The sequence below is a fragment of the Homo sapiens genome, chromosome 12 (assembly GCF_000001405.40).
Source record: "Homo sapiens chromosome 12, GRCh38.p14 Primary Assembly".
NCBI classification, from domain to species: Eukaryota; Metazoa; Chordata; class Mammalia; order Primates; family Hominidae; genus Homo; species Homo sapiens.
The window spans coordinates 19,488,503-19,504,597 of record NC_000012.12 but is presented as its reverse complement, the minus strand read 5'-3'; the positions used below and the strand labels follow the sequence as shown (position 1 = coordinate 19,504,597).

The window sequence follows — 16,095 nt, the reverse complement described above, 5'->3', positions numbered from 1 at the left end:
TGAATAGGGTGTGGGTAAAGGTCCATAAACCCTATGTAATAAAAGTACACAACTAGTCAGTCAGGTGCGGTGGCTCACACCTGTAATCCCAGGGCTTTGGGAGGCCGAGGTGGGTGGATCACAAGGTCAGGAGATCGAGAGCATCCTTGCTAACACGGTGAAATCCCGTCTCTACTAAAAAAAATACAAAAAAATTAGCCAGGCGTGGTGGGGGGGGCGCCTGTATTCCCAGCTACTCGGGAGGCTGAGGCAGGAGAATGGTGTGAACCTGGGAGGCGGAGCTTGCAGTGAGCCGAGATCGCGCCACTGCACTCCAGCCTGGGCGACAGAGCAAGACTCCGTCTCAAAAAAATATATACAACTATACTAGATCACAATAGGAAAGACAATACAACCTTTTTAGTTCCTAGTTTCATTATCTGAAAAATTCAAGTTAGGGGACAACATTGGTTATGCAGTAACTAAAAACATAAATTAATTTAAATGATACATTTAATAACCTACATTATGTCAAGCACGCCTCCATTTAAATTTAGTCCATAAACAAGACAAGGTTAGCCTGGGCAACATGGTGAGACCTTGCCTCTACCAAAAATAAATTAGCCAGGTGTGGTAGCTCATGCCTGTGGTCCCAGCTACTCAGAAGACTGAGGTGGGAGGATCTCTTGAACCCAGGAGATTGAGGCTACAGTGAGCCATGTTTGTGCCACTGCACTCCAGCCTGGATGACAGAGTAAGACCCTGTCTTGGAAAGGGAAAGAAAGACAAAGGATATCAGTAGGGCGTGGTGGCTCACCTGTAATCTCGACACTTTGGGAAGCTAGGACAGGAGGACTGCTTGAGGCAAAGAGTTCAAAACCAGCCTGGGCAACACAGCAAGATCCTGTCTCTATAAAAATAAATGTTTAAAAAAAAAAAAACCCAAGGATGTCTCCTCTCACCATTCCTATTCAACACAGTACTGGAAGTCCTAGCCAGAGCAATCAATCAGGTAAGATCAATAAAAGGCATCCAAATAGGAAAAGAGGAAATCGAATTTACTTTCTTCACTGCCAATATGATTCTACACCTAGAAAAACCTGAAGATTTCACCAAAAAGCTCATAAACCTGATAAACAACTTTAGCAAAGTCTCAGGATACAAAAAAAATCAATGTACAAAAATCAGTAGCATTTCTATACCCCAATAACACTCAAGCTGACAACCAAATCAAGAATGCAATTCCATTCACCATAACACACACACACACATACACACACACACACACACCAAGGAATACATCTAACCAAGGAGGTAAACAATCTCTACAAGGAGAACTACAAAAGGCTGCTAAAAGAAATCATAGATGACACAAAAAAATAGAAAAATATTCCATGCTCACAGATTGGAAGAATCAGTATCATTAAAATGGTGACAACGCCCAAAGGAATTTACAGATTCAATGCTATTCCTATCAAGCTACCAATATTTTTTCACAGAATTACAAAAAAGTATTCTAAAATTCACATGGAATGAAAAGGAGCGCAAAGAGCCAAGGCAATCCTAAGCAAAAAGAACAAAGCCAGAGACACCACCTTACCCGACTTCAAACTACACTACAAGGCTACAGTAACCAAAACAGTGCAGCATTGGTACAAAAATAAACAAACAGCCAAGCGTGGTGGCTCGCGCCTATTAATCCCAGCACTCTGGGAAGCTGAAGCGGCTGGATCACCTGAGGTTGGGAGTTCGAGACCAGCCTGACCAACGTGGAGAAACCCCATCTCTACTAAAAATACAAGATTAGCCAGGCGTGGTGGTACACGCCTGTAATCCCAGCTACTTGGGAGGCTGAGGCACAAGAATCGCTTGAACCCAGGAGGCAGAGGTTGCAGTGAGCCGAGATCATGCCATTGCACTCCAGCCTGGGCAACAAGAGCGAAAGTCCATCTCAAAAAAAAAAAAAGAATAGACAAACAGACCAATGAAATAGGACAGAAGCCCCTGAAATAAAACTGCACACCTACAACCAACTGATCTTCAAAAAAGTTGACAAAAATAAAAACGGTGAGGAAAGGACTCCCTAATTCAATAAATGGCACTGGAGAAATTGGCTAACCATATGCCAAAGAATGAAACTGGACCTCTACTGAGCTCTCACCATATAAAAAATTAACTCAAGATAGGCCGGGCATGGTGGCTCATGCCTGTAATCCCAGCACTTTGGGAGGCCAAGGCAGGCAGATCACTTGAGGTCAGGAGTTCAATACCAGCCTGGCCAACATGGCAAAACCCCATCTCTACTAAAAATACAAAAATTAGCTGGGCTTGGTGGCATGCACCTGTAATCCGGCTACTCGGGAGGCTGAGGGAGGGGGATCGCTTGAACCTAGAGGGTGGAGGTTGCAGTGAGCCTAGATCATGCCACTGCACTTCAACCTGGGCAACAGAGCAAGACTCTGTCTCAAAAGAAAAAAAAGTAGGTACAAATAACAGGAAAACATATATAATTGGGAAGTAAGTAAGGACATGTCCAATTGCCTTGAATAGTGAAATCCAAGGATGCTCTAAAAGGCCTTTATATAAAATAACATGGTGTTGCATATAATCTATGCAAAACCTCCCATATAATTAAGTCGATACTACGTAAATAGTTGGTACACTGTACTTTTTAATTTGTATGATTTTTATTGTGGTTCTTGTCCCCGCAAATATGATCAATCCGTGGTTGGTTGTAACCACGGTCGCAGAACCTGTGAATACAGAGGGATGACTGCACGCAGAAGAAAACATGAAAATGCAAAAAAAAAAAAAAAAAAAACAAACTCATTTTTATAGGAGACGACGGAAATAGAGGTTCAAACCAAACAACATATTGATATCAATAAGGACCTTTTGTATTTCAATTTTCATGCACTTTTCAATTGAAATATAAAAAATAAAAGTAACCCAAATTTAGTGTATATATAATTTTTTTTTTTCCAGACAGGGTCTCACTTTGTAGCCCAGGCTGCAGTGCAGTGCCATGATCACAGCTCACTGCACCCTTGACCTCCTGGGCTCAGCCAATCCTCCCACCTCAGCCTCCTGGGTAACTGGGACTACAGGTGCACACCACTATGCCTGGCTAATTTTTTGCATGTTTTTGTAGAGACAGGGATTTGCCATATTATCCAGGCTGGTATTGAATTCCTAGGTTCAAGCAATCTGCCTGCCTTGGCCTCCCAAAGTACTAGGATTATAGGTGTGAGCCATGAAGCCTGGCTGTATTTTTTTTTTTTTTTTTTGAGATGGAGTTTCGCTCTTGCTGCCTAGGTCGGAGTGCAGTGGTGCGATCTCGGCTCACAGCAGCCTCCAACTCCTGGGCTCAAGCAATTCTCCTGCCTCAGCCTCCCAAGTAACTGGGATTGCAGATGACCACTACCACACCCAGGTAATTTTTTGTATTTTTAGTAGAGACAGGGTTTTGCCACGTTGGCCAGGCTGGTCTCGAACTCCTGGCCTCAGGTGATCCACCTGCCTAGGCCTCCCAAAATTTTGGGATTACAGGCATGAGCCACCACGCCCGGCCTGTATTTTGTCAGCCTAAATTAAACACATATTTTTCAGAGATTCAAATCACCAAAAGTATGATCTACAATGTACATTTATTAACTTAATTACACCAAACTACACCAATTTAAAAATGACTGAAAAACAAAATGAGAAGAGGCATGGAAGAAAGAATAACTCTCTATTACAACTCCTAATTAACCAAAAAATAAAATGTATTTATTCTTTTTCAAATTTGGTACTTTTCTTCTTCTCTGTTGACAACATAGTCATTCAACAACTATACTGAGTGCCTACCATGTGCCAGGCAAAATTCTAGGCACTTGGGATAGATGAGTGGAACAAAAGAGACTAAAATCCTTTCCTTCATGAAGCTCTGATAGCAAATATAATCTTATATTCTGTTTAACATAAACTTTGGATGGGTACGTGGGGTAAGAGGTGGCTCCATGCAGTACACAGAAATGTGAATGAAACTTTTTAGAGGTAAAAGGAGTCTCATGTTCTAATTTTGCAAATGAGGAAACCAGGTGAGAAAAGACACCTGGTTTAGCTAATGTCAGAGACCAGTAATGCCTAGTAACACTGTATGGTGTGTCATCCCATTATTCCTAAGTAACTCAAACTAAAGGCTAACATATTCAGTTTAATCACAAACATGTAAAATTATAAGAAATGTGTGCTTTATAACCAATAATACAATGTTTTAAATACTGATAAAACAAAAGGTTTTGTGATTTCTGTTAAATTGTACTTTCTTAGATTTTGAGAGATTTAGAAATGATTGTGGAAATATTTTTTTGCAAAGTTTTATATTTAATTTGAAAAAATAAAAGAATACTTACAGTACTATGAAAAACAACACTGTGTCCCTTCCCTAAACTTTCTATATGAGCTGAGAGGTTAAAGCATATGGCTCGATGTCTTATCGCATCCAGTGTTTGTGCATCGAAGAAATCATGTGGCCGTGCTAAAAGTCAACATAAAAAGTAAAGAATATTTAGAAAAACATAACAGTAATAAGTAATAAAGATGGAAACAATTAACAAATACATATCTATCAATAGTATTTAAATTCAAGATTATTATTTGCTTACAAAACATGGACTCTAGATAAGAAGACTAATATGCAAAAGCATTATTTCAACAAATGAGTGAATGTGGGTTAATTCTGACCCTTGGTGAGTTAAGTTCTAACCTCAAACCTCATGATTCCACATCTCAGCTACTTCATTTTTCATAAAATGTTATCTTTTACTCCAACATCTCGCCTCAGCATAAGGTCTGTTATCAGCGATCTGAGGAACACCATCTATATATCAGGATTTCAAACTCACCATTGCCAAACATACAAAATAAATTTTGTGAACATTTTGTGTTACCATGTAATTTCAAATTGTACAAATCTGACAATACAATAATATTATTTTGAGGTTTTTTTTTTTTTTTTTAAGAGACAGAGTCTCACTCCTTCACCCAGGCTGAAGTGCAGTGGCGCCATCTCAGCTCACTGCAACCTCTGCCTCCCAGGTTCAAGCAATTCTCATGCCTCAACCTCCTGCGTAGCTGGGACTACAGGCGCACACCACCAAGCCCGGCTGATTTTTGTTATTTTTAGTAGAGCTGGGGTTTCACCATGTTGGCTGGGCTGGTCTTGAACTCCTGGCTTCATGTGATCTGCCTACCTCGGCCTCCAAAAGTGCTGGGTATACAGGCATGAGCCACTGCTCCCAGCCTATTTTGAGGTTTTTGACAAGTATTTTCTTGATTATGAACAACTATTTGAACAATGATCTAATAAAATTACAAACAAATTTTTGGACGCCGATCAGTCCACCAAAGCTGCCAATCAGCTCCACCAGTTATCACGTGTGTGACTGTGGGCAAACTACTTAACCTGCATTACACTGTGGATTATTTGTAAAATGTAAATTATTGTAACAATTTTCAATTGTAATTAAATAAAACAAATGCATATAAAAATGCCTTATAAATCATAAGGCCATTTGTATTAATCAGCTTATATAACTGGTTTTTTTCTTTTTCTTTTAGACACAGTCTCATTCTGCTGCCCAAGGTGCTAGAGTCCAGTGGCGTGATCATGGCTCACTGTAGCCTCAAACTAACTTCTGGGCTCAAGTAATCCTCCTGTCTCAGCCTCTTGAGTAGCTAGGACTATAGGCATGTTCCACCATGGAATTTTTTTTAAAGGATAAAACGTTTCACAAATATAGAGTAGGCAGTATTTTAGTGTGATCAAAAAAATTATACACTGAAGATTTAATTTGGTAAGAACATTTTTCAAATTTCAATTTTCATCCCACTAATTATAATAAATTATTCTATTCTTATTCCTAATAAGAAAGTTGCTCAAAATAAGTTGATTATTTTACATTTGTGGAGCTTACTAATACATGTAATTTTTCAAGATCTGTAATTGAAAATTCAATTTCACTAATAAAAGAGTTGGCTTGATTCCCTGGTACAGCATATTCTGAATTACATATATGCTGATTTCCCACACTATGGCTATTCAAAGAGTTCTCAAAACATCTACACAAATCCACCATAGCTTTTATGGGGGAATATTTTCACCAGTTGGCACATCAAATAGAACATACCTAAACAAACAGGTCTTTTCTCTAGATATTTCCTCAAGAAAAAATAAACAAAACACCAACTAGTAATAAACGAGCAGAAGCCAAAAGACTAAGAAGGCAGTGACAATGAGAAATCAGAAAGAAAAAAGTACTTGACATTTCCAGGGGTGAGCAAGGGAGAGTTCTGAGAAATACATCACTTTCCTGTTAGATAAGTGGCTACTCGAAAAAAAATGTGTAACTTTCTCCAAGCTCTCCAAATATATGCTTTTTCCTAAGAATAAACACTTGGGGAAAATAATAACTCATCACTCTAAATCACTAAAATTAACCACTCCTCACTCAAATTTAAACATTGAAGCCATCACTTAAATTCACAATAATGAAAGGAGTCCTCAATCTTCAGCCTATGCATTCAGACCTTAACCACACTATCTCCACTGCATTTATCAAGAATACCAAACTAGAACAGTAGTTCCAAAGTAGGTGTGTGTCATGATCCATTAGAGTACGTAAAGAATAGAATACCCTTGTTAATTTCTTCATCTCATTCTTTTTCAATATTCCTTCTTGGCAATTTTGTATAATGTGCAGTAGTAGTATTACCCGTATACAATGTATAAATTACATACGTTAAGACTGTGTGCTCAGTATTTTTTTAACTAATAAGATATATAATCAAAAACCTTTGGTGCTGGACACAGCGGCTCATGCCTGTAATCCCAGCACTTTGGGAGGCCAAGGCAGGAGGCGGATCACTTGATACCAGGAGTTTGAGACTTGGTGGCCAACATGGTAAAACCCCATCTCTACTAAAAATACAAAAATTAGCCCGGCATGGTAGTGTGTGCCGGTAGTCCCAGCTACTCAAGAAGCTGACGCACGGGAATTGATTGCACCTGGGAGGCACTGGTTGCTGTGAGCTAAGATTGCACCACTGCACTCCAGCCTCGGCAACAAAGTGAGACCTTGTCTCAAAAAAACAAAAAACAAAAACAGAACAAAGCAAAAAGGTTGAAAGATCACAAACTGACAACCTAACATTACAGGTTGCTGTGAGCCAAGATCGCACCACTGCACTCCAGCCCGGGCAGTAAGTGTGAGACTCTGTCTCAAAAAAAAAAAAAAAAAAAAAAAACACCTTTGGAAACCACAAAAATAGAAACTATTTTCCCATGGTTCAAAATTACATATATTGTATGATTTATCTTCTCCTTAGGTGTAATGATGATGATGTGGTTATGCAGAAAAATATCTTTATTCTTAGGAGATGCATCTTAAGAATTTTGGGTCCATGACCAAAAAAGTATATAGGTAGGAAGATAAAACAAATGTACCATATTGGTAAATCTCTAAGTGAAGAGCAATACAAGTATTTATTATACTATTCTTTCCACTTTAAAGTATATTTAAAAAGCATTAAAAATATATTTTAAAGATTTTTAAAAATAATGAAAAAATAAATAAAAATTAAAAATATGTATATATATAAATTTTATCAGGCCGGGTGCGGTGACTCACACCTGTCATCCCAGCCCTTTGGGAGGCTGAGATGGGTGGACCATTTGAGCTCAAGAGCTCAAGACCAGCCTGGTCAAAAAGACAAAACCCCACTTCTACCAAAAAAAAATACAAAAATTAGTTGGGTGTGGTGGTGTGTGCCTGTAGCCCAAGCTACCTGGGAGGCTGAGGTGGGAGAATCACCTGAGCCCAGGAGGTCGAGGCTGCAGTGAGTCATGATTGCACCACTGCATTCCAGCCTGGGTGACAGAGAGAGACCCTGTCTCAGAAAAAAAAAAAAAGGTTAAAAAAAAAACAAATTTTATCAAACAGAAAATTACATTTGCTGCAGTGCTGCTATTTATAAGGTATATTTTTCACAGTTTCGTAAAAACTGTCTTCTTGAATTACATGAGGAAGATACTAGGTAAAGTTAACTGCTACAGATATGTATGCTTTTAAAGAAAGAGTGAAATGCAGCAGCTGTTAACCATGCTAATTCAAATCACAGCACTGTCTTAACAATGGCTCCCCACAGTGAAAAGGCCTTGGATCCTTTTTAAAGTTTATAAAGTAATATATTCAGGACTAACCCCATTCTCCTCAATAAAACAGATGACAAAAAGGTATTTTCATCCACCACCTCTCTCTGCCAACTCTCCCTACGCAGCCTGCCTTACTAGCTAAGTTAATATGAGGAAAAACACCACCGTCAAAAGAAACATATACTTAAGCCGGCACCAGTACTTTGTTTCTAAGCAAGAACTGGGTATTTAACTGAATCTCTCTTCTCTTTACAAGACAAAGAGTAGCGAATTGCATAGATATTTCCAAGTATATAATGTGAAAAGTCAGAAAATTTAAATGATTACTGTATACACTGAGACTAAAATAATAATGAGGATAGGTGAAACTGGTGGAAAAGTCATCTGGTTTTTGAGTACCATAATATATATTTAGCAATTTTCTGTGTGCAACTGCAAGCTACTTGATATTAACACAAGTAAAATGATCGCAATGCTAAATTTCTGTTTTTATAAAGGATGTCAAAATGAAAATGGTACCATAAATAGCCAACGTTGATTAAAATTAAACATGATTACTTTAACAAAAAGAAACTTAAGGCCAGGTATGGTGGGTCATGCCTGTAATCCTAGCACTTTGGGAGGCTGAAGTGGAAGGATCACTTGAGCCCAGGAGTTCAAGACCAGCCTGGAGAACACAGAGAGACCCCCACCATCTCTTCCAAAAATAAAAACTAGCCAGGCATGGTGGCTCAGGCCTGTAGTCCCAGCTACTTGGGAGGCTGAGGTGGGAGAATTGCTTGAGCCCAGGAGTCTGAAACTGCGGTAAGCCATGATCTCACTACTGCACTCCAGCCTGGGCAAGAGTAAGACCCTGTATCAAAAAAAAAAAAAAGCAAGAATGAAATTTAAGAGAGTTTAAGAAAGTTTACTTTTCTCAGTTAATGAGGTAGAAAAAAAATAAAAACGAAATATAAAGTTTTCTGGTTTGTTCATTTGTCCGCTATAAATCTGTAGTAACAAAAAGATTTCAATGTTTTACAGACTAATTTCGTAGTCTGGAATTAGTGTCTGGAGTCTTGTCTATACTAATCAATCCCCAGAGAAAAAGGGTAAAGTACAATCTATTTTTTCTTTCTAATTCACCTTTGGAGTAGACTCCCTTTCAATGAAAGCTTTATTCACTCATTCACCCATTGGTATTTCTTCATTGAGGATATGTAGTTAAAACTAACCAGCTGCTCGAGCACAGTGGCTCATGCCTGTAATCCCAGCACTTTGGGAGGCCAAGGCGGGTGGATCAAGAGGTCAGGAGTTCAAGACCAGCCTGGCCACATGGCGAAACCCCACCTCTACTAAAAATATAATGATTAGCCAGTCGTGGTGGCGGGTGCCTGTAATCCCAGCTGCTCGGAAGGCTGAGACAGAGAACTGCTTGAACCCGGAAGTCGGAGGTTGCAGTGAGCCGAGATCACACCACTGCGCTCCAGCCTGGGCGACAGTGTGAGACCCCATCAAAAAAATAATAATAATAATAAAATAAAGCCACAAACTAACCAGCTGACACAAAGAAGCAGTGACCAGCTACACTCTGAGGTTGCAAAGTCTGTTCCTACTCCCAGCATTTACAAGCCTTATCATCTACTTATTTTCTATCCTAAACATCAAGGATACATTTTGGTAAGTAAACACATAAACATTATACATATGTTACAATAGACTAGGTACTATGACACCCATTACATTCAAATTGTTTTGCTATCGGCTGGGTGTGGTGGCTCACACCTGTAATCCCAGCATTTTGGGAGGCCGAGACAGGCAATCACCTGAGGTCGGGAGTTTGAGACCAGCCCGTCCAACACAGTGAAACCCTGTCTCACGCCATTGCACTCCGGCCTGGCTGACAGAGCGAGACTCCATCTCAAAAAAAAAAAAAAAAAAAAAGCAACACTGCTTTGTTATCCACACACATTGCTTTGTGGTGGTTTTTTTTGTTGTTGGTTTTTTGAGACAGGGTCTCACTCTGTCTCCCAGGTTCAAGTGTGGTGGCGCGATCACGGCTCACTGCAGCCTCTACCTCCCAGCTCAGGTACACACACTACTTTGGAGTAGATAGATTACTTAACTTTCACTTGATATTTACTTTTAACATGTTCAAATTTTCTAAAATATTTCTAGAAATACCAATGTTACTATATTTTAAATGTTATTTTGGAAGAGAATCAGAGTAGCCCCCAAATCTAATTTTATACAGTTTATATTTGAAGGCCACATATACTCCCTTAGCTACTACAAACATGTGCCACTGAATTCTCACTCTCACTGACAGACAGGCATCCTACCTGTTTGTTACTTTTAATAGAAGAGGAGTTGAAGTTCAAAGTGGATTTGCATAAAAGTCTAAGATATCTTTTAAAACCATGAAATACACCAGATTTTCTCAGTGTAACACTTACGTAATGAGCGTCGTCTTTTGTTCTTTAATTTCCTCCTTTTGTTCATTCCAGCTTTAGAAGGAGATTCTTCTTTGGCCTTTGGCTGGCTAGAAACTTTTGAGGAGTTCTGCTGACTGAAGTGTGTGGGTACATGACGAGCTAGCCCTCCCTGAGAAGCAAAGCTGGCATTGCAGCCACCAACAACACACTAAAAGAAAATAAAACAGAAATAACGTCAGGCATGCTGTGTAGGGCACGAGAAGAATATCAATGAGTGAATATCTAGTATTTTCGGAAGTAAATAAGTAGTACAATAGAACTAATTCCAGAAAGGAAGCATAAGGGACTAGTAGTCTTTTCACTTTACGAAGTAAGTTGCCAAGTAAGATGACATACATTAGACAAAGCTTGAAAATGCAACAAGTTTCACGACCTCCCAGTTTACTGCTATTTCCACTATATGCAATACAAAAATAATGGGATCTTCTTCCCAGAAAAATCTGGTTTTGAATTAATCATTGTTATAGCAGAAGCACTAAGCTGTTTTTGCAACAAATAATTAGATATCCTGGCAATGACTGGATTCCTGAATTTTATTTTTATTTTTTTGAGACAGCGTATTGTTATTGCCCAGGCTGGGATGCAGTGGTGTGATCTCCGCTCACTGCAACCTCTGCCTCCTGGGTTCAAGTGATTTTTGTGCCTCAGCCTCCCGAGTAGCTGGGATTACACGTGTGTGCTACCATGCCTGGCTAATTTTGTATTTTTAGTAGAGCTATGGTTTCACCACATTGGCCAGGCTGGTCTCGAACTCCTGGCCTCATGTGATCTGCCTGCTTTGGCCTCCCAAAGTGCTGGGATTACAGGTGTAAGCCAGCTGTATTTCTGGATTTTTAAAGTATTTTTTTTACGTTACATGCTACTTCAAAACCTTCAGCAGACTTCCTAGTGTTACACACTATTAAAACAGGTGAGAGAAAAGTTCAATATTGACTTTTTAATGTATTTTGTATTTTGGGTTTTGTTTTTTTTGAGACAGGGTCTCAGTCTATCACCCAGGCTGAAGTGCAGTGGCATGATCTCGGCTCACTGCAGCCTCAACCTCCCAGGCTCAAGTGATCCTCCCACCTCAGCCTCCCAGGTGGTGGTACTATAGGCACACGCCACCACACTCTACTAATATTTTGTTGTTGTTGCATTTTTTGTCAAAAGGGGGTTTCACCATGTTGGGTAAGCTGGTCCTGAACTCCTGGGCTCAAACCATCCATTTGCCTAGGCCCCCCACAGAGCTAGGTGTGCACCACCACACCTGCCTTGTCTTTGTAAATTACTTTCTTATAAATTTCTTAAACTTCAAATGAAAACCCATACGGACTACATTTAATATTTTAAAAATAAATAAATTTTTTTTATTTTATTTTGTTTTTTTATTTATATTTTGTTTGTATAAATTTTTTAATTTGTTAAACAATTAGATCTAGCCTCTCTCTTAGAAAAGACATGCTCAGTGTTGGTCATATGCCGCCCTCTACAATATCCATTAAATACTGCCTCTTTAGCCTTCTGTACTTGCAATGTTAAGAAATCAAAAGGTTAACTACCCGAGTCACCTGACAGATGTGCTATTTTAACAAAGAATGCAGAATGTTCAGGTAGCACCAGAATTAATATATACAAATTAACTGCGGTATAAGTGTGTGATTTCTAATTATATCTTGGGGGAAAAAAATTTGCAGGTCTTCTAACAAATGAATCGTGGTAATTAAAACAAAACAAAACAGAAAATATCCACAGTTGGATGGATAATGACTTTTCCATTAGTCATTTAACCAATTTACTTAGTTTTTGACTTACCAAACTCTAAGCATATAAATGTGTCATGTTAAAAACCAAATATATTCATCTTGTTATCCCCAGGCGGTTCATCTTGTAAAAGTTCATCTAGATAATAGCATTTAAAAAAATCACATGCCTCAGGCTCTTTCCTTCAATCGAGGTACCTCTACCAATTGTAAGCTGCTAAAATCACAACACAGCCCTTTATTTGTAAAAATCATAACTTTCCTCATAAAGTCTCTCTAAATCTGCCACAAATGGACAAGAGCTAATTCTCCCTTGAGGCTGTCCTCACACTTCACTGCATATCTATGTCAACTCACACTTTCCATTTTGAACACAGAGATGTATATTTATGAATATTTATATTCCCAGAAGCATCTTGCAAATCATAGATATTACTAAGTATATTAGCAGAACAGTTATATGTTTACTGATGCTGATAAAAAAAAAAATCACACATTCTTCTTATATGGTATCCATTAATAATTACTCTATTTTGACATACAAAATATATTTTGGGGGCTCCTTATGGCCCTCAGCGTCTCTATGAAAAATGTTTACTTACTCTATGGTGCACACTAAGTTAAAAAAGAGGTAGAAATGATTCAAGACTTTAGTTCAAATACTTATCTATGTCCAGTATTACATAATATGCTAGAAGGATAAAGATGAATAAGATATAGATACTACACTAAAAGAGCTTCTATATGTTCCGCAAAACATACATATAAAGCAGTATAACTTCAAAGGAGTACAGTAAGGCCTAACTAAAGCACAGGGCTATGGGAAACCCTGAATAGAGGCAATTAGCCATATTCATTGCTCTGAAATTAGTATTTAATTCATACAACAACCCTAAGAATGGCATGGTCCTCAAATAGGCTGCATCAAGAATTTTCACCTACAGACTCTGACCATGAGAAGTCAGCATTTAATGATTTCTATATTTAAAATTTAAAATTTTACCACACATATTTTGAGTACCAAGAAATAATAACGCTTTTTAAAGCTGCCATCTCTTCTGTAGAGTACCACGTTGCCACAGAACTACCTGGTCCACTGCCAAGGTCACTGCAAACCTACGAACCACTAGCCAAATATTGCTACTCAACACTTTAAATATGGTTATTGTAACTGAGTAAATGAATTTTTAACTTTATTTCATTTAAATTAATATTATTCATTAAAGTGAAATTCACATCACAAAATTAACCATTTGAAAGTGTACAATTCAGTGGAATTTAGTGTATTCACAATGTTGTATAATCACCAGCTAGCTCCACATTCTCGCCAACACTATTTCCATTTTTTTATTAAAATCATCCTAGTGAGTGTGAAGTGGTATCTTGTGGTTTTCAACTGCATTTCCATAATGGCCAATTTAACTTTTAATTTAAAACCTGAGCCGAGCACAGTGGCTCATGCCTGTAATCCCAATACTTTGGGAGGTTGAGGTGGGTGGATCACTTGAAGCCAGGAGTTTGAGACCAGCCTGGCCAACACAGTGAAACCCTGTCTCTAATAAAAATACAAAAATTAGCCAGGGAGGTTGCAGTGAGCTGAGATCATGCCACTGCACTCCAGCCTGGGCAGAAGTGAGACTCTGTCTCAAAAAGAAAAAAAAATTAGCCGGGCATGGTGGCACAAGCCTGTAACCCAGCCACTCAGGAAGCTGAGGCACAAGAATCACTTCAGCCTGGGATGCAGAGCAGTGAGCCAAGATCATGCCACTGCACTCCAGCCTGGGCAACAGAGTGACACTCAGTCACGATAAAAAACCTGATACTCAAAATTGCTTGATACTTGAATTGAGAGTGTTTAATTACCCTAATGGGTTAGTTTTGTACCATTCAATACGTACATCTATTAGATATAGGTAACTTCTAAGCATTTGAAACTTGGCTAGTCTGAATTGAGAAATGTTGTAAGTCTTAAGAGTCATTTTGTCCCAGCATCCTTCCAGACAGCAAAGAATAGGCCCTAGTAGCATCTAGAACTCAGAGAGTAATGTTACCATCAAGAGTTTATTTTAGTCCAAGTGCACGCACAATTCCAACATTCTGGGAGGCCAAGGTGGGAAAATCACTTGAGCCCAGGAGTTTGAGACTAGCCTGGGCAAAAAAGGGAGACTCCATCTCTAACCTCCCCCATGCAAAAAAAAAAAAAAAAAAAAAAAAAGTTTATTTTAATTATCAATGATTCAGTCTCTAGAAATGAAACCAGTAATGAGAATTCTAACAGAAAATTGTTTTATCTTTGATTTTGGTCATTTATCAATCAAAAATCATTAAAAAAAAACAGAAGTAAAATTTAGAACTAAAGAGTGCTTACATTAAAGAAAAATATAATAGAATCACACATATTTCACTTAAATACAAACTCTTCTCTGCTAAAGGAAAAAATAATTTTAGGCATCAACTAATCAACATCCTACACAGAATATGAGGCAGAGACAAATCTGCTGTTGCTTCAAATAGTCTAGTACCATCCTCTTTACATGAGCATTTCATGTTGCTGAGTATGGTTTTAGTTTTCAAATATGTTTTATATTTTCACTCATAAATATATCATCACTGAACTCAAGCCACTACACATGGTGTTCTGATGAAAAAGAAACCGATTTCAATGATGAGGGGAAAGCTGGTTGTTGAACACTGATATGGTTTGGCTCTGTGTCCCCATCCAAATCTCATCTTGAATTATAATCCCCATGTACTGGGTGAGAAACCTCCCAAGTGACTGGATCATGGCGGGGGCGGTTTCCCCGATGCTGTTCTTGTCATAGTGTGGGAGTTCTCACAAGATCTGATGGTTTTTAAAAATGGCAGGTTCCCCTGCACTCTCTCTGCCACCACCTTGTGAAGAAGAGATACTGCTTCCCCTTCACCTTCCACCATGACTGTAGTTTTCCTGAGGTTTCCCCAGCCATGCAGAACTGTGAGTCAATTAAACCTCTTTTGTTTATAAATTACTAAGTCTCAGGTAGTATCTTTATAGCAGTGTGAAAAACGGACTAATACAAACATTGACTGTTTTAAATGTGGTCTCCCACTGAAATACCCTATATATTAATGTATGTTGGCCAGGCATGGTGGCTCACGCCTGTAATCCCAGCACTCTGGCAGGCCGAGGCAGGTGGATCACCTGAGGTCAGGAGTTTGAGACCAGCCTGGCCAACTTGGTGAAACCACGCCTCTACTAAAAATACTAAAATTAGCCGGGCGTGGTAGCAGATGCCTGTAATCCCAGCTACTTGGAGGATGAAGCAGGAGAATAGCTTGAACCTGGGAGGCGGAGGTTGTGGTGAGCCAAGATCGCACCATTGCTCTGGGTGACAGAGCAAGAGTCCATCTCAAATAACAAAAAAAAAATATGCTGGTGGCCAAGTAGCTTTTCTAAAATTTGAAACACAGAATTACTGAACTGGTTTTTTCTTTTTCCGAACAAATTTATTTGGACGAAGCAATACTAAGACTGTCTTTGTAAGTGCTAAGATCATCTTATTCATATTCCCAGAAGTCCTTCTGAAGATCAACAAGGGGCTATCAGAACACAAATCAGAAAGCACCAGTCTTACAAATAATGAGGAGGCGATCTAAAGGAAGAAAAATTCCAAAAAGAAATGTTGATTTCTTGGTTTCGACAAATACACCAGAGTAACATAAT

The 16,095-nt window shown here is 38.8% G+C and overlaps 1 protein-coding gene across 7 annotated transcripts in view, besides 1 other annotated feature; it reads right to left on the bottom strand.

The window, feature by feature from the left end:
- The window catches only part of AEBP2 (AE binding protein 2), a 118,156-nt gene that overhangs the window by 17,630 nt on the left and 84,431 nt on the right, over positions 1 to 16,095 (bottom strand). For all 7 annotated transcript variants that reach the window (XM_047428299.1, XM_017018806.2, NM_153207.5 and 4 more), the window contains exons 4-5: positions 10,612 to 10,798; positions 4,377 to 4,501 (exon numbers count right to left, since the gene is read on the bottom strand). In XM_047428299.1, coding sequence (XP_047284255.1) covers positions 4,377 to 4,501; positions 10,612 to 10,798 — 312 coding nt within the window. The remainder of the gene's footprint in view (positions 1 to 4,376; positions 4,502 to 10,611; positions 10,799 to 16,095) is intronic.
- Positions 7,874 to 8,503: an enhancer, noted in NCBI's record as "NANOG hESC enhancer chr12:19649029-19649658 (GRCh37/hg19 assembly coordinates)". NCBI's record gives its function as "activates a minimal SCP1, AML or CMV promoter by ChIP-STARR-seq in primed H9 embryonic stem cells {active_cell/tissue: H9 hESC(primed)}" and the evidence as "EXISTENCE:reporter gene assay evidence [ECO:0000049][PMID:30033119]".